The sequence below is a fragment of the Homo sapiens genome, chromosome 20 (genome assembly GCF_000001405.40).
Source record: "Homo sapiens chromosome 20, GRCh38.p14 Primary Assembly".
Lineage (NCBI taxonomy): Eukaryota > Metazoa > Chordata > Mammalia > Primates > Hominidae > Homo > Homo sapiens.
This window is the reverse complement of record NC_000020.11, coordinates 53,892,682-53,918,831: the sequence shown is the minus strand read 5'-3', so window position 1 is coordinate 53,918,831 and position 26,150 is coordinate 53,892,682. Positions and strand designations below refer to the sequence as shown.

The 26,150-nt window shown below is 44.5% G+C and overlaps 1 long non-coding RNA gene across 1 annotated transcript in view, besides 1 other annotated feature; it reads right to left on the bottom strand.

Moving 5' to 3' along the window:
* The window catches only part of BCAS1-AS1 (BCAS1 antisense RNA 1), a 28,093-nt gene extending 24,750 nt beyond the window's left edge, over positions 1-3,343 (bottom strand). The window contains exon 1 of the long non-coding RNA NR_199019.1: positions 3,266-3,343. This is a non-coding gene — a long non-coding RNA (BCAS1 antisense RNA 1). The remainder of the gene's footprint in view (positions 1-3,265) is intronic.
* Positions 11,544-12,743: an enhancer, noted in NCBI's record as "CDK7 strongly-dependent group 2 enhancer chr20:52522628-52523827 (GRCh37/hg19 assembly coordinates)". NCBI's record gives its function as "activates an origin of replication core promoter dependent on BRD2, BRD4, P300/CBP, MED14 and CDK7 cofactors, with strong dependence on CDK7, by STARR-seq in HCT116 cells {active_cell/tissue: HCT116}" and the evidence as "EXISTENCE:reporter gene assay evidence [ECO:0000049][PMID:35650434]".

Below are 26,150 nucleotides of genomic sequence, written 5' to 3'. Positions count from 1 at the left end.
TTTTTCTTTTTTTTTTTTTTTGAGACGGAGTCTCGCTCTGTCGCCCAGGCTGGAGTGCAGTGGCGCGATCTCGGCTCACTGCAACCTCCGCCTCCAGGGGTTCAAGCGATTCTCCCACCTCAGACTCCAGAGTAGCTGAGATTACAGGCACATGCCTGGCTAATTTTTGTATTTTTAGTAGAGACGGGGTAGAGTAGAGGTAGGCAGCTACCCAGCTCTAGGTAGGTACCTCTGGATTATACCTCTGCCTCTAGCTATCTACCTCTAGATTATGCAGTAAATGAGAAACATAAATCTTGCCTAAGCTGCTGGTATCTGGGTTTTCCATTATAGGCAGGTAAACTATATTCTGTTCAAAGTAGTTTTGAACAACTGAAGAAAATGAACACATTTTTCCCACTGGCTAGTCCACTCAAAATCATGGGAAGGTACTAATTAAGAAACAGCTGTAAATAATATTTTATTCATATTATCTCAAAATTCTTAATATGCCATTTTACCATTTTCTGCCTTTTGATCCACATACAATCCAACATGAAATTTATCAACTACACATGTAAAAACAGTGATATGGAGAAACAAACCATCTGCAAAATTTCAACCCAAAGTTTTATTTCCATTTTGGCCTAAAGCAAGATGTTCCTTGCAGGGGTGGGAGGCCCTCCATTTCCCACCTTACTCTGCATGACTCAACCTGAATGCATCCCATTGGCATTCTGGATTTTTCTATAATCTCCTTTCCTTAATAAATTCAAGATTGCTCCACAAATCACCAACAGCTTATAATAGCATTACTGTTTCTGGGCTAAATCAGGGGTGCAGCACTGGCCAGTAGCTATGTCTATGGATTATCTGAATAATTGCTTCAATTCCCCACTTGTTTCTGAGTGAGTGTAGGCCTGACCCTTGGGCATGGCTGAACATTACTCATAGTCAAACCGAGAGTTTCAACGCTAAATGTGACAGTGTGTGCTATATCTGTTTTCTCTCCAGCAGATTATTCAAATACCATCTAGTTGAAGTCAAGCTGTCCCAAAGCCCACTGAATCTTTGTCCCAAAGGTCCCTGTAGGAGCCCTGGAAGAGCTTCCTCTGCTATATTGTAATCTCTTTCTCCGTGAATATGTGATGATTGGATGCTTTCAGCCCAATTCTTTTCTCCTGCCTCATGTCCCCTAGAGATCCCGATGGCTCCTTATAAAAGCCATGTGTGTCTTATCTCTTCCCATGCAGTCGCTAAAACCAGAAAGCAGGCTGGAAAACATTTCCCCCAACTGTACTGTTTTTCATCATTTCTTTCTGACACCCTCAGATAACTTGTTAGCATATTGTCTTTCCCCATTCAGTGCCGCCCTCACCGGGTGTTTGAGGGCTTAATGACATCACCCAGGAATTTGTAATTAGAAACAAAAATGCCTCTTTCAAAATCTATTAACACTGGAAGAGGGAAGAAAAAAAAAAACTTTTTAAGTTGCTGGTACAACCCCAAATGAATGAGGCCTCTTCTGACGAGGCAGAAACACTGCCAGCTTTCAGGACACTCCCAGGAAAGCACTGAAAACAAGTCACAAGTAACCTTTCTGGCTGCTGGTGCCAGTGCCACACGCAAGGGCTGACACCGGGACCTGGGATTGGCCTTGGACATTTTATAGGAAATGACACTGCTCTCTTGACTCTCCCTGGGAGAAGTTGTGTTTCTGGAAGCTCCTATAAGTCTCCAAGAAGTGTTGTGAATTTCTATCTCTGTGACTTTTGATTACTGAGTTTTTATTCATTCAATAAATTGTTTGGAGGGCCTCTCGCAACAAGCCTGTTCCTGGGGTCTTAGCTGCTGTCAATGGGGGTCACGGTGTGTTCCTGTGAATAGTAAGACCAGAGCTCTACCGTCTGATAGCCACTAGACATACGTGACTATTTAAATGTAAATTCAGAATAACAAAAATTAAATGAAGTTAAGAATTCATCCCCTCACAGTTGCGTAGCTGCATTTCAAGAGCCCAGTAGCCACATGTGGGTGGTGGTTACCATATAGGACAGGACAGTCCGGGCGCAGTGGCTCGCGCCTGTAATCCCGGCACTTTGGGAGGCTGAGGCAGGTGGATCACCTGAGGTCAGGAGTTTGAGACCATCCTGGCCAACACGGCGAAACCCTGTCTCTACTAAAAATACAAAAATTAGCCAGCCATGGTGGCGGGTGCCTGTAATCCCAGCTACTCGGGAGGTTGGGGTACGAGAATCGCTTGAACTTAAGAGTTGGAGGTTGCCGTGAGCCGAGATCGTGCCACTGCACTCCAGCCTGGGCAACAGAGAAAGGCTCTGTCTCAAAAATAAATAAATAAATAGATAGATAGATAGGACAGGACAGATGCAAAACATTCATATCATCCTAGAAAGCTCTCTGTGCAGTGCTGGACTAGGTAGTCAGATTTGCCTGGGACACTCTGGACTATACCTGCTGTGTCCGCATCATCATCCATAGCACTCTGTTTCACTCTCAAAAATGTCCTGGTATTTCAGCTACCCTTCTACCCGCTGAGCCACACTCTTTGCTAGGACTTCCCTGAAACCCAAACCCTTTGTCTTGATGAATAAGTTGGCAGTGTCCAGCAGTCTCCCCCACCCCATTCCCTCTCACCTATCAAAAGCAACAATTTTAGGAACAGGAAAAAAAAAAATCCAAGTGAAGAAGTTGTCATTTCTCCCCAATTAAATGATTTCCTTGTCAGCGGTTTCACTTTTGTTTTGTATTTCCCTTTGCCTAAAGCAGCTCTGATGGGCGCCCTTTGCCCTGAATCATGCCCACAGATCTCACAGGAAGGAGGCCGTCCCCGGCTTCTCCTGAGCCCTCCCGGCCACCCTCCCCTACTCCCAGCCTCCCCTTCCCGTCTTGCCCAGCAGAGGGCGTCTGAGTTTAATATTCTCAATAAAGAGCATGTACACAATCACTTGGGATTTTTTTTTTCTTTCTTCCAGTGATACTTTTTCTTTGTGAGCAGCAACTGAGGTGCCAGATAATATAGGTCACCTGAAGGACAAGCCGTCAGAATTGGAGATCAGAGCCGCTCAGGCCGGCCGCCAGCTCGTTAGGGAACCGCACACTCAGCTCCCACCCAGCTCGGGACGCCCAGCGGGAGCTTCCCTTGCAAACACCAGCAGACACCATTTTGCAGAACTCTTAAGAAACGCGGGTTAAATGTGTTAGGTACAACGCATGCAGCCAAGACGGGCATGGAGAGCGAGAGGGCTGGCCCGGGGGGGAAGCAAACCTCCTGATGATGGGATTGCTCTTGCTGGGGGCTTTGTAAACAGCCTTGCATCTCACACCTCTGCCAGGCAACAAAATGGTGGTGGCTAGAAAAAATAAATAAATAAATAAACAACGCGGGGGTGGGGGGAAGGTGGCACCAGGTAGGTACCAGAGATGGACTTTTCTACAATTTTCTTGGGCTGTCCGTTACCAACAGTTATTCTCTCTCTTTTTCTTTCTTCCTTTCCTTCTCTGTCTCTCTCTTTCTCCACCCCCCTCCCTCTCTCTCTCTCTTCCCCCTCCCTCCCTCTCTCTTATTCTCCTTGTTACATTCTCTGCAGTAATCTTCCCCCTCCTACTGAAGGGGGCGGAAGACCCAGCTGATTTGACTCCAGCTCCCCCTCCTCAGCCTTGCAAATTCCTTATTGAGCATAATTTCTGATTTGTTTCTATGTATCTTAAGGGGTGAGGTGCTGAGGCAAGTTAAGAGTTCGGGTTATCTTGTTTGCCTGTTTTGGTGCACTGAACATATTTACGAAATGAAAAAGCTCCTTTCTAAATGGGTGTTAACTGCTCTAAGATTCCCAGGAAACGTGTTGAAGGGACATCTAAATGGAAATTGTGCAGTATTACTCCATTGCACCTTTTAGGAAGAAAACAATTGTGGCTACTCTGTTGGGCTCTGGTGGCAGTGTAGTAGTGAGTGATTTGTGTGACTGCGGCACATTCATTTTCCTTTTCTATTATAATCTCACCTTCCTTAAGGAATAAATGAGACCATACAGTAAAGGGCTAAGCAAAGTTGCATGACACAGCTTCGGTAGCAGCTGTTACTGTTTTATTATGTCTTTGCTTCAAGCTCTCTCCCTGGGCCTGGAGCTTAGCTTCTGCACACAAATGCTTGATGGAGAGAGCTCTGTGTTATCTGAATCCAGAAATTCTACAGCAGAGGTTTGGCTCCACCTCACCATTGATTTCCTTTCGGTGATTTTGTAAGTCATCACTTTGTAATGCAATTTCTCTCTGTATGAAACAAACGAGTATTTTTTTTTACCACCCCTTCTGAGACTGTTGATAAAACACACTCGACAAACGTTTTACAGCACCCTTGTGAGGCACTAAGGAATGGGGAGAAATCTACACCTAACCACCACCACCACCAGGCATCCCAGTGTGCTCAGGGCAGCGCCAGTTTTTGCAGAAGTATTAATAGCCCCTCCTTTCACTCCCCCAAGCGTCTTCGATGGGATGGTTAGTTATAAGGTCACGCTACAGAAAACATAACACCAGGCCTGGAGAAGTTCAGAGTCAGGGTGAGAGAAAAGACTGGGAGGAGGAGGTGGGCACTGGAGACCAGATAACCAGAGAGATAACAGATAGATACATAGATAGACAGGTCATAGAGATACATAGATAAGATAGATGATAGATAAGACACATAGATGATTGATAGATGATAGATAGATAGATAGATAGATAGATAGATAGATAGATAGATAGATGATAGATACATACAATATATATAGATGAGTAGATAAAGATAGATAGGTACAGCCAGGCATGGTGGCTCATGCCTGTAATCCCAGCACTTTGGGGGGCCGAGGCAGGAGGATCACTTGAGTCCAGAGTTCAAGACCAGCCTGGGCAACATAACGGGACCCCGTCTCTATTAAATAAATTTTTAAAAAGATAGATAGGTAATAGATACATAGATGACAGACACATAGGTACATAATACATACATAGATGATAGATAGATGGAAAATAGGTAGAGGATGGATAGATAGATGGTAGATAGATACATACATACATATAAATGGGTAGATATAGATAAGTAATAGAAACATAAACAGGTAATAGACACATAGATACATAATACATATATATATATACATACATCAATAGAGAATAGATGGATAGGAAGATGGATGGATGGATGGATAGATAAATAGATACCTGGAGATTAAGAGAAGGAGAAATGAAGCTAAATGAAGCTTCATTTAGCTGAGAAACTGAATGACCGTGGGCAAATGTGTCATCTCTCTGAGTCACTGCTGCTTCATGGGGAAAGCAGGGACCATTGAGTCAGGCCTGCTTCCAGGGTGTGTAGCTGATGAAATGACAGGCACCTGAGCACCTGGCACAGGACCTCTCAACATGCAACTACGGCATAGCAAAGAAGGGATTTGACTCCTCAAGAACCAAAGAGGAAACCTCAAAAGAAAACCATCATAATACATAGAGTTATGTGTCATTTCCAAAAATATAATTATATCTTATGCTTTATTTTATATATATGTATATATACATGTATCTGTATATGTGTATATATATACATGTATACGTACATATATACGTGTATATATACGTATACATATATACACATGGATATATATACACACACATGGATATATATACATATATGTATATATACATATATACGTATATACATGTATACATATATACGTATATATATGAATATGTGTGTGTGTGTGTGTGTGTGTGTGTGTATATATATTTTTTTTTTTTTTTGAGACAGAGTCTCGCTCTGTCGCCCAGGCTGGTGTGCAGTGGCGCGATCTCAGCTCACTGCAAGCTCTGTCTCCCAGGTTCATGCCATCCTCCTGCCTCAGCCTCTCAAGTAGCTGGGACTACAGGCGCCCACCACCACGACTGGCTAATTTTTGTATTTTTAGTAGAGACGGGGTTTCACCATGTTAGCCAGGATGGTCTTGATCTCCTGACCTTGTGATCCGCCCGCCTCGGCCTCCCAAAGTGCTGGGATTACGGGCATGAGCCACTGCGCCCGGCCGCGTTATTATCTTTTTCCTTTGAACTTCACTTGGGGCTGTGGAGAGGACCCCGTCATCATCAAGGTACACGAAGACCTCTCAGATGGCCTTGCAAACTGTAAGGGCTCGACCTGTCTTTCATTCTTAGATTCCATTCCATGCCAGGAACTAACTACACAGCAGGCCAGGAGGGCAAGGGCTGGGGCAGAAGACAAGCACCATTCGACGGGGGCAAGGATGATGGAGTGACGGCTCCTACCTCAGCTGGGGACAGGAGATAAGAGACAGAGAGCACAGAAAGCAGTCTTGCACATAAGATCCCCAAACCTCCCTCTCACATGTAGATACAAACAGCAGAGAGGATCCAGCACTGGCCAAAGGAGAGACAGCTCTCATTTTATAAACATCCATATCTCCTGCTCCACCAACTTCCTAAATGCCTTCTTAAATTTTTGTGCAGGCTCCTAAGAAATAATATCAGCCAGCACCTGCTGCAAAGGGGCATCCCAGGATGTGTGACTGAATCCTGTGGCAACACTGCGAGGTTGGCATCATTACCCCCACACCCTCCCCAACCGAGGAAAGAGCTGGAACCTGGGGAGATGAATGACTTGATGTCCCACAGCCAACTGGCCTGCAGGCCCAGGGTGAGAGCTCTCCTTCTGAAAGGCTTTCCTGCCACCTGGAGCTGAGATTTGCCTTGCCTGCTTCTTAAAGCAATAGCTCCTCTTACCACTCCTTCAAAATACCTCTCAAATCCAACCGCTTGTCATCACAGCCCTGCTCTTACCCTAATCTAAGCTACTCACACCTCTTGGTCAAAGACTACTATAGCCTCCTCTCTGGTCTCTCTGCTTTCTGGTCATCAGCTCATTCCAGTGCCTGGTTTTGTCCCTGGAAGTCCCATGTCCCAGGAAACCCCTCCATCTCTGGTAAATCCAGATGACTGGTCACATTCTCTGCTGCCCACTTGCCCTCATCCCTGCAATCTGTTCTCCGAGAAGCATCAGTGTCATTTTTAAAATGTAAAGCGCATTGTCTCATGCTGCTTGGGACTCCCCATGATCCTTCCAACAAAACCTGGATTCTTTAACAGGGTCACAATGATCTTGCTGATATGGACCCTGGTCAAAGCTGAAGCAAGGATGGCTAGCCCAGGGCAGGGATGTGTGCTGGAGTTGAAGGCCCTCCCTACAAAGGCCACCTGCAAGGGCCACTACCACTTCGGAATTTGTGAAGGCCTGCATCGCTCCAGTGCCCCCAGACTTGTACCCGCTGACATATCTCTATCTTTCTGGGATCCTCACTCACGCCCTGGCCTGATGGCCTCTGTCACTCCTCTCCGTCCTTGTTTTCTTCACCCCAGCCACAATAGCTTCTGGCCAAGCATGTTCCCACCTTGTGGCTTTTCCCTCTGATACGATTTGGCTGTGTCCCCACCAAATCTCAACTTGAATTGTATCTTCCAGAATTCCCATGTGTTGTGGGGGGACCCAGGGGGAGGTAATTGAATCATGAGAGCCGGTCTTTCCCTTGCTATTCTTGTGATAGTGAATAAGTCTCATGAGATCTGATACTTTTATCAGGGGTCTCTGCTTTTGCTTCCTCGTCATTTTTCTCTTGCCGCCACCATGTAGGAAGTGCCTTTTGCCCCCTGCCATGATTCTGAGGCCTCCCCAGCCACGTGGAACTGTAAGTCCAATTAAACCTTTTTTGCTTCCCAGTCTCGGGTATGTTTTTATCAGCAGCGTGAAAACGGACTAATATACCCTCCTTTCTGGTGGCTCACTCCCCACCCCTTACAAGGCTGTGCCCTCCCATCCCCCACGCATCCATTACTCTCCCTGTTTTATTTTTCTCCCCGGCACTTACCTCTACTTGGCAGATATACCTTTTCCATAATTATTTGGCATCTCTCTCCCTCACTAGCTCCACAGACATGTGACTATTCTCGGTCCATGTCCCAGCATGGTCCCAGGGCGGAGGACAGTTCCTGACACATCGGTGCTCCGTGAATACTTGTTAATGGATGCTAGGCGGATCTCAGGGTCCTGTGCCGCTCTTTGATTCCTTCACTCTGCCTGACTCTCTTCCACCTATTATCTTTCTTATTTTCATTTTTTTCCACTTCTTCTTATTCTCCACTTGGCAATTGCCACCTCCATCTTCCTCATAAAGCCACCAAAAGAGGAAACAAAAAGAAAGAAAATTCAACATGCAGAAATACACTTGTCTTTCCCAATCTTGAAATTGGAGGTTTGAGTGCCAAGGCAGGGCTTTCGATGGTTCATCTCAGTGAAGGTGTGGGAAGCCCGCTGCAGGCGGTGCTCCTGGAAGCCCTGTGGCAGAGGGTCTTCACAGTGTGCTCATGGCCACACACCTAGGAAGTGGCAGGCACCACTGCAGCCACGCTGCAATCCACACGGTTCCAACCCAAGCACCTCATGATTTCACCCCATGCTCCATGGCCCTAGTCAGTTAGGTCTGGGTGGGGATTTTAAACCTTCTTTGCTTAGACTATGTTAGACTCCAGACTTATTTTTAAAAGCAAAAAGAGGCCGGGCATGGTGGCGCACGCCTGTAACCCCAGCACTTTGGGAGGCCAAGGTGGGTGGATCACTTGAGGTGAGGAGTTCAAGACAGGCCTGGCCAACATGGTGAAACCCCATCTCTACCAAAACATCAAAAATTAGCCAGGCATGGTGGCGGGCGCCTGTAATACCAGCTGCTCAGGAGGCTGAGGCAGGAGAATTGCTTGAACCCAGGAGGTGGAGGTTGCAGTGAGCTGAGATCGTACCACTGCACTCCAGCCTGGGTGACAAGAGCGAGACTCCGTCTCAAAAAAAAAAAAAAGAAAGAAAAGAAAAGAAGAAAGAAGAGAGGCAGGGCATAGTGGCTCACGCCTGTAATCCCAGCACTTTGGGAGGCCAAGCTGGGCAGATAACTTGAGGTCAGGAGTTCGAGACCATCCTGGTCAACATGGCAAAACCCTGCATCTACTAAAAATACAAAAATCAGCTGGGCATGGTGGCAGCCACCTGAGTAACCTGTAATCCCAACTACTCAGGTGGCTGAGGCAGGAGGATCACTTGAACCTAGGAGGCGGAGGTTGCAGTGAGCCAAGATCACACCACTGCATTCCAGCCTGGGCGACGGAGCAAGACTCCATCTCAAAAAAAAAAGAAAGAAAGAAAAGGAAAGAAGAGAAAAAAAGTGTTATCACCCTTAAGAAGCAGCTAGATCAAGTACCTTTATCAGTGATTCTCATATTTAAGTATACACAGGAATCATCTGAAGCTGTTAACTCCCTAAGCCTCAGTGTCTATAAAGCATCTATAAAACAAGGATACTAACAATAACTACTTCCTGGACTTCTGTAAAATTTTTAAAAGTTTTAAATGTGTTTTAACCAGGAGCCTTTCAGTTGCAATAGCAGAAACCTCAACTCAAACTGACTTAAGCAAAATAGGAATTTATTGACTCATATAACTTAATGATCCAGGAGTTGATAGCTTCAGGCGTGGCTAAATCCAGGGGGCTCAAACCGTATCCACCCTGTTCTTTTTTTTCTTTCTTTCTGCTTTCTTCTATGTTGGTTTCATTCTTGGCTTGGCCCCTCTCTGTAGTAAACTCTGATTACTTCATGGTTCCCTTTTCTCCATGTTAAGTCCAAGAGAAGATAAAAACATCTGTTGGCCAATAATTTATTTTTTTCTTTCTTTCTTTCTTTCTTTCTTTTTTTTTCTCTTGCTCAGGCTGGAGTGCAGTGGCATGATCACGGCTTACTGCAACCTAGACCTCCTGAGCTCCAACAATCCTCAGCCAACCAAGTAGCTGGAACTACAGGTGCACGCCACCATGCCCAGCATATTTTTTGTGGTTTTTTGTTTGTTTGTTTTTGAGGCAGAGTCTCGCTCTGTCGCCCAGGCTGGAGTGCAGTGGCATGATCTCGGTTCAATGCAATCTCCGCCTCCCGGGTTCAAGCGATTCTCCTGTCTCAGCCTTCCAAGTAGCTGGGATTACAGGCGCCCACCACTAGGCCCAGCTAATTTTTCTATTTTTAGTAGAGACGGGGTTTCGCCATGTTGGCCAGGCTGGTCTCAAACTCCTGACCTCAGGAGATCCGCCCACCTCAGCCTCCCAAAGTGCTGGGATTACAGGAGTGAGCCACTGCGCCTGGCCAATTTTTGTGTTTTGTTTTTTGTTTTTTGGTTTTTTTTTTTTTTGCAGGGAAACGGTTTTGTTATGTTGCCTAGGCTGGTCTCGAACTCAAGTGATCTGCCCGCCTTTGCCTCCCAAAGTGCTGGGATCCCAGGTGTGAGCTGCTACGTCCAGCCTCTTGCCCAATAATTTCAGTGAAAGTCCTGGGCTCAAGTCTCACTTGACCACTTAGATCATTTATGAACCAATCAGTTTGCCAAGCTGGGAATCAATGTTCATCCTTGAAGTCAGAGTGCACAGTCAGCACCCTAAAAACCACGAGCTGAAAGTGGGTGTGGTAGTTAGCCAAAGGAAAATTAGGGAGATTTTACACAAAGAAGGGAAATAAATGTGTGAATACAAAAATCTATGGATGCCCACAACATGTGGCCTGGTACACATGTAAGTACTCAATCTATGTTAGCTATTAAAGGGAGCACCTGACCAGAGGGCAAGGAATATTTGGGGATCACTGAAGCTTCAGAATCACACTTTTCAGCTGATGGTTCTGTACCTCGGCAGGACATCAGAAGTTCTTGCAGAGCTTCTAAACTCTCCCATCTGTGGCCCACGTTCAGTTCTGATTCAGTTGATCTGGGGTGAGGTCTGCACAGCACTGGGTGTTAAATCCACCCAAGAGAATTTAATGAACTGCCAGGGCTAAAAACGACTGCTCTAAGCTAATGCATTTGCTTGGCTGGTGCCCACAGACCTCTTAGCCATAGCACCAAATCCTGTAAGACCCAAGGAATTATTAGGAAGTACTAATTATATGTGAAGTCTTAATGCAGAATTTGAAAATCTCCCGAAATTATTTCTTCCAATGTCCTCAATGCTAAAACGGGACTTTGGTGATAGCTTTTTTTTTTTTTTTTTAATGAGACCGAGTCTCGCTCTGTTGCCTGGTCTGGAGTGCAGTGGCCCGATCTCGGCTCACTGCAACCTCCACCTCCCAGGTTCAAGCTATTCTCCAGCCTCAGCTTCCCGAATAGCTGGGATTACAGGCGTGCACCACCGCATCTGGCAATTTTGTATTTTTAGTAGAGACAGGGTTTCACCATATTGGCCAGGCTGATCTCAAACTCCTGACCTCAGGTGATCCGCCCACTTCGGCCTCCCAAAGTGCTGGGATTACAGGCGTGAGCCACCGTGCCCGGCCAGTGATAGCTTTAAAAATGCAACATAGAACTGAGCTGTGTGTGTGTGTGTGTGTGTGTGTGTGTGTGTGTGTGTTGTAACATGTGCGTGTGTGCTTGTGTGCGTGCCTACATGTGCTTTGCATTGGTGGTTAATTTAGCAACACAGATGACTCAAGAACTTAACTAATGTTGAGTCATGGCATCTTGTGTTTTCAACTTTCTTCCTCCCCTCCCCCACCTTGTCTCATCCACAAACATTGGATTCAACGTTGGAGGTATTTAATGCCACCAGTGACGAACAGATAGACACCACCTGCCTCCAGATGTGATATCCTGAGGAGGATACAACATCCTCTTTGCCCCACAGTCCAGCAAAGAATGCATAGCCTACACCGAATCAAGACACATCAGACAAACAGAAAATGGAGAACATTCTATCAAACAGGAGGAAGCTGTATTCTTTGAAAATGCTAATATCATAACAGACAAAAAAAGCTGTGAGAATGTTCCAGTTAACAGGACTGCATAAACAATCATGCAGATGGATATTAAGATATCAGTAGATAAATAAAGGCAATATAGGTATTTTTATACTACTTCTATATTTGTAACTTTGAACTTTTTTTTTTTTTTTTTTGAGACAGAGTCTCGCTCTGTCACCCAGGCTGGAGTGCAGTGGTGTGACCTCAGCTCACTGCAATCTCCACCTCCTGGGTTCAAGCGATTCTCATGCTTCAGCCTCCCAGGTAGCTGGGATTATAGGCATGCGCCACCATGCCCAGCTAATTTTTCAATTTTTTTAAGTAGAGACAGAGTTTCTCCATGTTGGCCAGGTCTCAAACTCCTGACCTCAAGTGACTCACCCATCTCAGCCTCCTAAAGTGCTGGGATTACAGGCGTGAGCCACCGTGCCCAGCCTGAATTTATTTTCAAATAAAAGGTGTTTCAAAAGCTGTGGACAGAGAAATACTGTAAACAATAACCAGAATGTTCACTTATTGAAATGTGGAAATACTCTTCATGACTCATCAAGATTAAGAATTGTAAACACGCATGCACCCCATATATCAAAACTCATTCTTCATTCTAATACAATTCCTATTTGCATACAGGGCCGTTCAACAGCCGAAATGTGAAGTACATCTATCCCTGAGCATCTTCATAAATTCTCCCAGATTAGGGGGCTCTCAGGAAGTTGCCAGATGGCACAGCCACACCCCCAGTGGTTTCTCAGGACTCTAGAAATTTCTGAAATACAGGCCAAGCACTCACTCTTGCCAGTAAGTTACATCGAAGCAGCTATATGGTAGAATTGATTATGTAACACAAAACCCATGGTATCCATTGCTCCTTAGAGTAGAATTTAAATCTTTACCTGGGCTCACAAGGTCCTGCCTCAAGTCCAGTCTCAGTTCATCCTTTGGACTTCTTCTGGAAGATTCCTCCGTATCAGCCTGCCTTCTGGTCTTGACATTTCCCTTTCTTACCTCGGGGCTTGTGCACCTGCCGTTGCCTCTCCTGGAAAGCTCTTCCCCAGGGCTTCACGTAACTGCCTTTGAATCATGTAAGTCTCATCTGTTATCCAGCACTATTCATTTTGTTCATAGAAATGACCACTAAGTGGAACTTTTTAAAACTTGGATTATTTCCTCCGTAGGAAAATGGTAGTCTTTTCAACAAGTGACACTTGAACAATTGGATATCGGTATGCAAAAATAATGAACGACCACCATTACCTATGACCATCATTTTCTGTATCTAGTAGATTCTTCAGTGGCTCTTCTGCCCACTGAGTCCTCCACCCGCTCTATGGCACATCCTTTATTAATGTCTTTCTAAAAAAATAGCCAATCAGTTGGGAAGCACTGATGGCCAGACAGGCTTTCCCTGACCACTCTCTAGCTCCTTCCCTTGCTCATTGCTCTTCATTGCGTTTGCTCCCTCTAACATTGTAGAGTTCATATTTTTGCTTGTTATCAACATACCCATAAACTCCACCCCCTTATCCTCTCACCTCTCTGTCTTCATCCCCCTACCTCATTCCCTGTAGGCAGGAACGATCTGCGTAGGGTGATTTTTCACACCACTGTATCCCTAGTACCTAGACCGTCCACATGGAACAGATGTGATCACCAAGTTTTAGAAGAAACTTGCAAGCCCATCGTCCAACACTTAACATCTTTATAGATGGGGAAATCCAAAGACGGTAAGTGATTTCCCCCACGCTCTCATGGCTAGCTGGGGCAAAGCCACAAGAGCAAGCATTGCATTCCTTTGGGTCCCCATCAAGTTAGTGTTAGTTCCATTACGCCACACTGCCCTTCTCTTCCAGGCCTATGGAGGCAGGAAGCACAAGACACAACCTAATCATGTTTTTAAATCTTAATTTTTTGGCCGGGCATGGTGGCTCATGCCTGTAATCCCAGCACTTTGGGAGGTCAAGGCAGGTGGATCACAAGGTCAGGAGTTTGAGACCAGCCTGACCAACATGGTGAAACCCCGTCTCTACTAAAAATACAAAAATTAGCCAGGCACAGCAGCGTGTGCCTGTAGTCCCAGCTACTCAGGAGGCTGAGGCAGGAGAATCGCTTGAACCCGGAGGCACAGGTTGCAGTGAGCCGAGATCATGCCACTGCACTCCAGCCTGGGTGACAGAGTGAGATTCCATCTCAAAAAAAAAAAAAATCTTAATTTTGTATTAACTTAATGCCTTCTAGTAGGGTTGGCTGTGAGGAGCCAGGGGACATTTGGCCTTGGCCTCATATTGACTTTCCAATGTCATCTCCAAAAAGATTGCATGAATTCACAGGGATGCATTCGTAATAGGGCAATTTTATACTTATGTACCCATCCACAGATCATGTTACCTCAAGTTCATTCTAAGACAATATGGTTAATAACTTCTACAGCCTTGTATACAGCACAATGCCATTGCAATGAACAGTAATTTGTGTGTGTGTGTATTCAAACTTTTATTTTGTTCAATATAACACTGAAAAATATTCCAAGGAGACCAGTGGTGACTTATGCCTATAATCCTAGCACTTTGGGAGGCCAAACCTGGAGTACCGCTTGAGACCAGGAGTTCAAGACCGGTCTGGGCAACATAATGAGACCCTGTCTCTACAAAAAATTTAAAAAACAAAAATTAGCCAAGCATGGTGGCACATGCCTGTAGTTCCCAGCTACTCAAGAGGCTGAGGTGGGAAGCTCACTTGAGCCCAGGAGGTCAAGGCTGCAGCGAGCCATGATGGAACCACTGCACTCCAGCTTGGGTGATAGAATGAGACCCTGTCTCTGAAAAACAAAAAAAAAAAGAAAAAAATATATTTCATAAATTTGGGTAACCCCTATTTTGGCATCTCTTCATCTTTATGTCTTGAAATGCCAGATGCCTCATTGAGTGGACACGCCTGTGTCTCTCCCGGCTTCTGTGTGGTCCTGGGCCCTGTACCTGTTTAGTGTCCATATTCTTGGAGATAGATCCCTATTGCACTTGCTTCCTGAGGGCACACAGATCTCTGGAAAGCTGAAAGAGGAAGACAGTCCTCTTAGGTACTAGTGCTAACAAGGAGCGATGGTTATGCAACCAGCTTACAAAATTTTCTTTTTGCATCTCTAGACAACTCAGCCCTGTCCCTCGTTGCATGGTGTTTGGTGGATGACTTGGCATGAAGCATCATATCTACAAGAAAAACAAGTCAAAGGCTGATGCCTCTGATGGGGAAATCACCACTCTCTCAGTGGGCAGCCACAGGAAATGGGTACCTGTCTATACTGGGGCCACAGGATTATGGGGCAATATCCCACATGCCAGAGCATAACATAGAGGCTCATTAAGGACAGATATTTGGGAGTGTATATTTATCAAAAATTCAGATGGGTGAATGGCCATCACAAATGGGAGAGAGAACTGTTAGCCAACGGGTGACTCAGGGGCTGAGTGTGCACCCCTGTTATGAAAACTGATTGTTAAAAAAAAAAAAAAAGTTGTTTGCACTCATCACAGATATCAACATTTGAAGGCACTGGCTGATTCCAACTTATGGCATAAATGACTATTCAATCGCAATTGGAATAGCTTAGACAAATTATCTGTGATTAAAGCAGGCCAATTTCTCAAAATAAAAGTCCAACCTGGAGCACAAATGAGCCTAAGCGCTTGGTCCTTGGAATAGTGACTTTTCTCTCTTGCAAAGCTTGGTCTCTAACCAAATAAGTATTTACCTATACATTTAGAGTTCAGATCAATAGGAGGAAGATGAAATAGCCAAGACTGCTTTTGTTGCACATGACAATGACATAACTCATCTTGTTTAAGAATGAAAGGAGGCCGGGTGCGGTGGCTCACGCCTGCAATCTAAACACTTTGGGAGGCTGAGGCAGGCGGATCATGAGGTCAGGAGATCGAGACCTTCCTGGCTAACATGGTGAAACCCCATCTCTACTAAAAATACAAAAAATTAGCCCGGCGAGGTGGCAGACGCCTGTAGTCCCAGCTACTCGGGAGGCTGAGGCAGGAGAATGGCGTGAACCTGAGAGGCGGAGCTTGCAGTGAGCCGAGATCATGCCACTGCACTCCAGCCTGGGCAACAGAGCGAGACTCCAACTCAAAAAAAAAAAAAAAAGAATGAAAGGGAACTTAGCACTTGTAACTGAAGCATCCAAGTTTACTGCTGACTTCAGGCATGCTGGATCCAGGCGGCGAGAAGCGTTATCAAGAATGTGTCATTCTCTATTTCTTGGCTCTGCTTTCCTCTATATTGCCATTACTTTCAAGTAGGCTGTCTCCATGTGAATGGCAAAGCAATCATCTGTAGCTTCAGGCCTAGATGGTCCCCACAACTGGTGGCTCCAAAAGAAACCAAAAGAAACACACACACACACACACACACACACATACACACACACACACACACACACACACACACCCCTTTTTCCCAATAGCTCTCACGAAAGTCCCAGGCAAGAATCTCTCTGGCTATACTTGGAACACATACCCAACCCAGAACCCATTCTCCTTGTTGGCCATTTTGTGCATATCCAGGTGATCACCATGACCAGCCATGCTGCCATAAGGATTCTTTTCAAGTCTCTTTAGGCATCCACATAAGGGGTACTGTGGAGTATAGAGATGACTATTTCTTTGAATACTGTGATAGATGCAATAGTAGACTTGCATTCAAGGTACCATAGTACAGTATAAGAAAAAATATATATGCCTTTGTAAACTGTGCTTACTCGCTCAGGAGCAGGGGGACGCCCCCTTCTTAAGGGAAGAGCCGGCATCACACGCCCTCCCAGCTCAAGCTTCCCCTGCGACCTGCACGTGTGTGAATTGGCAGGCCCCACTAATATTGGTATTTCCCTCTCATTCCTACTATTACCCCTGCCAAGCTTGGGATGGCAGAGTTGGAGTCATATCCATTCTAGGAGCCTAAAGATGTGACTCCTCTGCATTGATGAGAGACACGGAAGAGGGAAAAGCAAGGAAAGACTTTAGTGAGCTCTGAAGTCCCACCTGCCACTCCACTAAATGCCAGAATCATCTGGCCTCACTTAGTGGGTGGAGCAAATTCCTGCCCCCCAGGGCCTCCCTCCTGAACCTGCAAGGTTGGTGGGAGAGGGAGACCCTCCCCAAAAGAGGAAGCCTGTTGTGTTGAGAGTGATTTCAGAGACCTCAGCCAGGAAAGGTAAATCAAAATAACCCTTACACTCCGCCTCCTTCTTCCTTTAGAGGGGAATGTTTCCTGGCACGGGTGCTGCAGCTTAATAAATTGCATGCAGTAGATTTCAGGCCTTGAGAAAATCTTAACACTAGCTAATATGACCAGCACTAACAAAATTTCTTGGAGCTTATAATAACAAAAAAAGCTCATTGACGGATTCCCACTTTTATTCCTGCCCCCCTTTTCCACTTAGCCTTAAATTTTTTTTAATAAGAAATTTTTATTAACAAAAACAACAACAAAAAAAAAACAGAGTGAAGCACTTCACAAGATCTTGCCCAGTTTATTTTTTTAATCTGTAATAATGAGCATAACAGTTCAGCAATGGAATACTCACTCCAACAAAATCTCCAGATCTTTACATCCTGAGTCTGCGAGGGCTGGACACATGCCCTTGCTAATTATCAACCTTCTGAAACAGCTCAAGACATGGGATTAAAAACTGCTGTGGAATTTGAACTCACGGACATTCATCTGAGTCAGCTACTCTGAACTCGCATCTACTATAAGGACCTGAGCATTTCCTTCTCCCGTTTCCTCAGGACCTGCTCGGGGGTGTTCAGGGGAAGGTTGTCACAAACATACTTGCAATAAAAATAATCAAACAAATGGAGAGCATGTCTATTTCCGGAATTAGATTCTTTTGATAGTGAAGGAATCAAATGGGATAAGGGGCAGGGAGAAGTCAGGTAAGTCCAATATTACTATGTCCACATGCTTAAATTTCACTCCTCGGGGGCTTATTGTCCCTAACAATGGCCCTTTTAGCTATGGAATACGGGGAATGACTAACCTTTTTCTAGCCTGTCAGTGAGAACTACCACTATATATTGGTAAGTATTTCCGTACAAAATTCACTTGGAAAGGATATTGTTTCAAGCCTGGACAAAGCTCATATTGTCATGTTCCAGTTCCAGTTATTTTAGGCAAGGAAGGGGAATTTCCACTGCTCCCTACAATCAGTTTTGAGCACTTAGCTCTGAGTAATAACTTCCTTGTAATCTGTCAGAGCCCAAGTTATTTAACAGAGGAAAGAAAAAATCCCCTGATACTATGCATGAAATTCTTAGCCAAGCAAGCCACTTTAAGAATACATCAATTAGCTCAGGCAGGAGTAAAGACGTGACCTCATCCAATGGAGAGAATGCAAGCAACTTGATTCTAAAAGGAAGAAATGAAATGAGTCAATGCAAATTCCCAGATAGGATACAAAACTAAGAGTCATTTAATGTCAGTGTTGATGATAATAGTAGCTCCCATTCATAGCATACTTATCATAGGCCAAGCACTAGCCCATCCAAACCCCTTATTGCCCTGGTCCTATTAAAACTATTTAAGTTTTATTTTCAAGAGTCAACTAATGTATGCTAAATAAATAATAGTACAGGTGGCAACAGATATGGCAAAAATCCAAAGTAATATGCAAATGACAACTGGGAAACATTAACTGAACAATACCATTTCTATAAATACATAACAAATACACCATCATAACAAAGAAAGTAAATAAAATTACCGTGTATTGAAATTGGAGTTTAATTAAGTGCCAGCCATTTTATAAGCATTAACTCTAAGCCTCACAAAAGCCCTAAGAATTGGGAAGTATTGCTATTCCCATTTTACAGACATGGAAAATAAGGCTTATATTGCTAAGTCATTGGTTCAAGGTCACATGGCTAAAGTGGCAGAGCTGGGATTCAATCCCACTCTCGCCAGATGCCAGAACCCAGGCAGATGTTACTGTGGCATTATTGGCACTTGTGTCAAGCCCGGTGAGGGATTTCAGCAACCCTCAGTCTGGATGGTACCACACACTCCTCCAGGCAAAGGAAACGCCCACAGGCCACTGAAAAAAGAAGCCACTTCCTGTCCCTGCAAAGAGAGAACATCACCATCCTTGAGTCAGGTTCCTCACCATCTCTGGGCTCAGCCTCTCAGCTAAACAATTTATCTTTGGAGTGACAGGTGATGACTTAGTCACCCTGGCTCTGCCCTTCTCCCGTTTCCTATAAACCAGCTGTGTTTCACGGGTGATTTAGAGCATAACCACAGAACACATAGGCTTTTATGGAACAAGCAATAATTGGGCACTGCAGAGAAGCTGTCATGCCCCCCTCACCCATCCCCCCACCCCATTGGCAGAGCTAACAGCTCCCAGCTGCTCTCATTCAGCAGCACAGAAGCCAATTCACCTGGGAGATTATCTCCTCACTCTTAATGAGGCCAGCCTACAGCCAGTAACTGACTGTTCCAGGCCATGAAAGGCCAGCGCCTTTGCTTCAACATGAGCTAATGCTGGGGTGCAGTATCTGCTCCCGATACACGCAATGTATATCCCCAAGGCATCAGGCTGAAGCTAGACTCCAGTTCACAAAAACCTCTGCTTCGCTCCTTCTCCCACCGTGTCCTGCTTCCTTGGTTCCCACTCCCATGGGAGCCTTCCCTCACTAAACCACTGCCCCCAACCCCCATCCCCAGTGCTGCTTTCAAACCCAAAACACCACCCACCATGTGCCACCATGATGGGTACTGGAGACGTGTGTTAACTAAGTGGGATTTTTGAACTTCAGGAGCTCATACTAGTGAAGGAAACAGTTACATAAACCCAATAGAATAGGGTAAGAACTATAATAAAATGTGCATTCTTTTTACTCTTTCTCTTATTTTAGTACCTCTGTGCACCCAGGCCTATGATAAGCATTATTCAGACATTGTTCCATTTGATTCTGAGAACAAACCCATGAGGGAGGCACTGCAATTAACCCTTTTCATGGACAAAAAAAAACCCCAAGTGTTCACAAAGGTTAATTAACTAGCCGTTAAGTGTAGAGATGGTACTTGAACCCATTCTCTTTAAATTTCCTCGCTCTTTTACAGGGCGTCTTTCCCGCTTCTTGAGATCAGCCGTCAGCAAACCATGCTCCCTAGGCACTGCCTGTTTCTGCAAATAAAGTTTTATTAAAACACAGCCACACACATTATTTACCCATGTCTATGACTGCATTTAGTCTACGAAGGCAGAGGTGAGCGGTTGACACAGAGCCTGGAGGGTCTGCAAAGCTGAAAATATCTACGTCTCCCTTTTTATGGCTACAGGAGTAGCCAGCCCTCCTCTATTTGATGAGCTTCTGTTCTTCTTCAGCCTCAGAAAAAGAGAAACCAGGAATTTTCTTCCGTCCAAATCGAGGTTCTCCATCAACTGCTGCCTATAGTGGAGCCTGTGCTCCCTTTGCCCTGAGTCTGGGAGAACCTTACTCATTCACTAAGCTCCGGTGCAGCACTTGCTGGAGGACAAATTCACATTATCTGATTGGCCTGTGTTCCTCTTGCTGTTTCACCTACCGACACGTTAAAAGGAATTCTATCATTTCCTCAACGGATTATTCCTGTCGAGAACCACAACAAGGAAGCTTCCTCTTGAGATTTCAGCCTGGAATCCTCATTGTTCAAAGATATGCCATTACCTTTTAAATCATCCCCCGAGAAGTTCCTCTTCTAGCCTTTTATTTATGGAATTTCAATGCTTGGAAATGGTGATCACCTCCTCCCAGGGTTTTCTGCCACATGGCTTTCATACTTGAGCTCTTTTCATCTTTTCCCGTAAGTTAATCACTTCTTAATTGTGTTCTGTTGCCCAGTCTTTGAACTGTTGTCCAATCTGTTTGCATGCTGGGGTGATTACAATACAATGAGTATCATGAGCCTGACTGAGTCCATCCAGGACCAAATGGCCAGCTGAGAATAGCCAACAGGCTATTCTGTTTCTGAAGGCTTCTTCCTGTCACCAGAATGTTCTGGATGTGTTATTCATAGCTTGAACTAGCTCTGTTTTTGTTTTTTATTTTGGGGGGTTTTTGGGGTTTTTTGTTGTTGTTGTTGAGGCGGAGTCTCACTCTGTCACCAGGCTGGAGTGCAGTGGCGAGATCTCAGCTCATTGCAACCTCCACCTCCCAGGTTCAAGCAATTCTCCTGCCTCAGCCTCCCAAGTAGCTGGGACTACAGGCACACGCCACCACGCCTGGCTAATTTTTGTATTTTTACTACAGACGGGGTTTCACCACGTTGGCCAGGATGGTCTTGATATCTTGACCTCGTGATCCACCCACCTTGGCCTCCCAAAGTGCTGGGATTACAGGTGTGAGCCACCAACGCCCAGCCCTAGCTATGTTTATTTGGTACCCTAAGTCTCTGATTTTTAATGTAAACTCCTGCACCAAGTAAAACTTGGAACAACCTTTCTGCAAAGCAATTTTATCACATACACTAAGGATGTTTTAAAGTTTGTACCCTTTGACTCAATAACCCTACTCTAGAATGAGCTGTCAGCCTGAGAACCCAATGAAATAATCAGAGATGTCATAAAACAATGTAAATATAAGGATGTTCATCATGGCATTATTTTAAATAAAGAAAGCAAAATCAATTTTTATGTAAAGAAATGGCTAAAAATAATTTCATTTCTTTCTGAAGCAATATTCTATAGGCATAAAAATGATGTGTTTGAAGAGTTTTTGATATCGTAAAACATTCATGAAGCAATGTTAAGTAAAAAAAAAAAACTATATATGGAATAATACCACATTTTAAAACCCTTATATTTTTCTGTGTGTGCATACATCATATATATGTTATAAATATATAGTAAATATATTAACTTTTAATTGTTTTATTCATTACTGTATGTCTAAAGTCTAGCCGAGATTTCTTAATCTTCTTAATCATGGCACTATTGACATTTGGGGCTGGATAATTCTCTGTCGTGAAGGCTGTTCTATGCATTGTAGGATGTTTAACAGCATCCTCAACTCTACCTACTAAATGCCAACTCTACCTACTAAATGCCAACTCTACCTACTAGCAGCTGGCTCTAGATGTGACAACCAAAATGTCTCCAGATATTGCTAAATCCCCTCGGGGGACAAAATTTCACCTTTGAAAACCACTGCCCTAGAACATCTAATAGAGGATCAATGATATTGTTGAATAATTCAACGAATTAGAAAACATACATGAAAATTCCAATTGTTATTTCTTTTTAATGTGATTACTTTCTTTTTAATACTTCACTGTATTTTTCCAAATTTGCCACCACAAGCATATGCAGGTCCCATTAATAATCCCTTACCTATAATTCCAAAATCCACACAGTTCATTCGCCAGCAAAATATGGATTCTTCTGAGTTTCCATGAAGTCTTTAATGTTCTCAGGTGGTGTGACTATCCATACATTTCTCTGAAGAGGTATTCATGTATTATTTGACATTTAGTGTAAACAAAATGCATCTAAAAGCGCAAAAAATTTGGCTTACAAAATGCATCTGGCCCCTGGGTCGGGGATACAGGATTGTGGGCCTGTATTATTTTTATAATCAGGGGGATAGGAAGGTGAAAATTATAACGATACTCTCCTACTCAACAGAAGACAATCAATTAAGAAGGTATGTATACAGTAAACATCCACCTAGAACATTCTCTTCAAAAAGTAAATTATGGAAAAAGGCCAGGCGCGGTGGCTCACGCCTATAATACCAGCACTTTGGGAGGCCAAGATGGGCAAATTACTTGAGGTTAGGAGTTCAAGACCAGCCTGGTCAACATGGTGAAACCCCGTTTCTACAAAAATAATAAAATTAGCTTGGCATGGTGGTGTCTGCCTGTAATCCAAGCTACTTGGGAGGCTGAGGCAGGAGAATTGTTTGAACCCTGGAGGTGGAGGTTGCAGTGAGCCGAGATCACGCCACTGCACTCCAGCCTGGGTGACAGAGCAAGACTCCATCTCAAAAAAAAAAAAAAAAATTATAGGAAAAAAATAAATTATGGACAAGTTTAGTCATCTTATTTTATAGGAATAAGAATGAGGAAACAGATGCTTGGAGAAGTTCAGACCAGAACTCCTGCAAGCTAACGAATATGGATGTGGGGTGTGGATCTTGGGTCTGTGTGGTTGTTGTGTCTCCCATCTGAACCATCACACACAACCGCTTTCCTGTTTTGTTGACACACAGTGCAGTGTCTTGCATAGCTAGACACCAATTATGTTGGTTAGGTGAATGAACGAATGAGCACCTTCCTGCCACAAAGTTAATTCCTTAGAAGGCTCACGTCATCTGAATTCCATCTTATAATAAAAAAGAAATCAAGCAAGGTAGGGCCAGGCAGGGGCTAAATAAGAGCCTGAGGCAGACAGATAAGTCTTCAGTTGCAGAGTTGAAACTGTCACCGGTGATGATATAAACAGTTGTACCATCTGTGTGATGCCTTTATCAGGTTGGGGGACAGGCTCTGGAACCAGACCCCTTAGGTTCCAATTCAGGTTCAGCACTTACTGGATGCAAGTTAATTAAAGGTTCTGTACCTCAACATCCTTATTTGTAAAATGGGAATAATACTAAGACTTCCATTATACGTCTATGATGAGGATGAGATGAGTTGATACAGAAAAAGTACTTCCAGGAGTCTCTGGCCCACGGCAAGCACCAGTAAGTAGCCTCTCCTCTTTATCCCCAGTGCATCTTCTTCATCGTTAGTTAATTCGGCTGCTCTCAGCCCCCATGAAGTGGCTAGCACAGAGAGGCAGGACTGCAGGATGTCAAGGCTTCATGTTCAGATGGTCTTGGGTTCGCACTCCTTGCAGTGACAAGCTGTGTGACAGAACAAAACTACCTCTTTGTGCCTCGGTGGCCTCATAGATACCACCTCAATAATACCACATCATTATGGAAACTTTATGAAGGCTATATTAACGAATGGGTGCAAAATGCTCAGCTCAGTCATTTCTCAATAATAATGACTCTTTTTATAAACATCCTCACTCTTTTTTTTTTTTTTTTTTTTGAGACAGGGTCTTGCTCTGTTGCCGAGGCTGGAGTGCAGTGGTGTGGTCACAGCTCACTGCAGTCTCAACTTCCTGGGCTCAAGTGATCTTCCTGCCTCAGCCTCCTCAATAGCTAAGACTACAGGCACACACCACCATGCCTGGCTAAATTTTTTGTAGAGATGGAGATCTTGATTTGTTGCCCAGGCTGATCTCAAACTCCTGGCCTCAAGAGATTCTCCCGCCTTGGCTTCCCAAAGTGCTGAGATTACAGGTGTGAGACACTGTGCACAGTGAAACAGCCCCATTCTAATGATGAGAAACTGAGAAGCAAAAAGGTTAAGGATTAAGAACCTAAAGATGCAGAAATCCAGCCAGCGTGTTGGCTCACGCCTTGTAGTCCCAGCTACTAGGGAGATTGAGGCAGGAAGATAGCTTGAGTGCAGGACATTCAGGCAGCAGTGCGCCATGATGGCACCATTGCACTCCAGCCTGGGTGACAGAGCCAGACCCCATTTCTAAAACAAAAAAAAAATCAAATAACTAAAGATACAGAATTTTCAGCTTTTTCTGCAAGAGTGGTGCACCCTGAAGTATGTTATACCAAACACTGGTGGGATACAGAAGGGTATTCAGAGAGCTATCGGCAACATTATGTATTACTTTTTTTTCTTTTTTTTTTTTTTGTGGTGGAGTCTCGCTCTGTTGCCCAGGCTGGAGTGCAGTGATGCGATCTTGGCTCACTGCAACCTCTGCCTCGTGGGTTCAAGCAATTCTTCTGCTTCAGCCTCCCGAGTAGCTGGGATTACAGACGCACGCCACCACGCCCGGCTAATTTTGGTATTTTTAGTAGAGACGAGGTTTCACCATGTTGGCCAGGCTGATCTCAAACTCCTGACTTCAGGTGATCCGCTCGCCTCGGCCTCCCAAAGTGCTGGGGTTACGGGCATGAGCCACTGCACCTGGCTGTATTACTTTTAATAGTTGTGTATTTTCATGAACACATATATACTTAAGGGTGGAGGGTGGGGTGGGGAGAGGATGGAAAAACTACCTATTCGTACTATACTTATTACCTGGGTGGCAAAATAATCTGTACACCAAAACCCCATGACACACAATTTACCTATATAACAAACCCGCACGTGTACCCCTGAACCTAAAAAAAAAGTTTAAAAAAAGCATTCTTTAAAAAAAAAAACGGTATGTATTTTTTTCACAGTTTCTATCTGTGGCAAGAAAATCAGCCTCCCATTTACCATAGTGACATAAAGTTTCCTTTTTATGTCAGTGTAGTCAATATCCAAATAATGAAAGAAAAATCTTAAGTCAACACTAAACAAGGCAGCAAGAGATATGGCAAAAATCATGAAGTTCATATGTGAGCAGCGGCATGAGAGACACTGTGGTAGACCACATCTGGTGATTCAAATCGCCCAGCAAGATGGTCAAGGGGCCCCTTCAAGGGTTGCAGACAGTGACAGTCTTGTGATTCACTCCCACGTTCTTCATAAGTGAATCTTTCCTTTCTCTGGGTACACATTGACCTATTCCTTCATGAATTTCTTAACCACAAATTAGAACCATGTTATGACCGTCTTGGTCTCCAATTTTTCATCTTTCCTAACTTCCCCCTTGATGTCATTAACTGGTGTGTGTGTGTGTGTGTGTGTGTGTGTGTGTGTGTGTGTAAAAGACAGAGAAAGAAAGGCTGAGGGAGAGAGGGAGAGATGCTTGTGAACAAAGACCATACATGCCTCTCTTGTTCACACCACCTGCTTCAATAATGGACATGTGGGAGTGGCTTAATAGTGATCGTTTACCGTGTGCTATGCATGCATGATTGTTTCTAATCCACCCAGCACTTGGCAAGGCAGATAGTATCACACTACGATTTTTACAAATGAGGAGGAACTTGAGGCTTACAGGGGTGAGGTGGACCCAAGTGGAAGCAGCTAATGTGACAATATTAGAAGTTGAACCTGGGTAGCCTAAACTTAGAGCCTAGATCTAAACCCTTACCCCATTGTCACCCACTTTAAAAGATGCCAGGGAGAGGAGGGGAGGGGAGGGGAAGGGAGAGGGGAGGGGAAGGGAGGGGGAGGAGAAGGGAGGGGAAGGGAGGGGGAGGAGAAGGGAGGGGAAGGGAGGGGAGGGGAGGGGAGGGGAGGGGAGGGAAAGAGAAGGGGAAAGGGAAAGGGGAGATAGAGGCAACAATATTATTTTTATT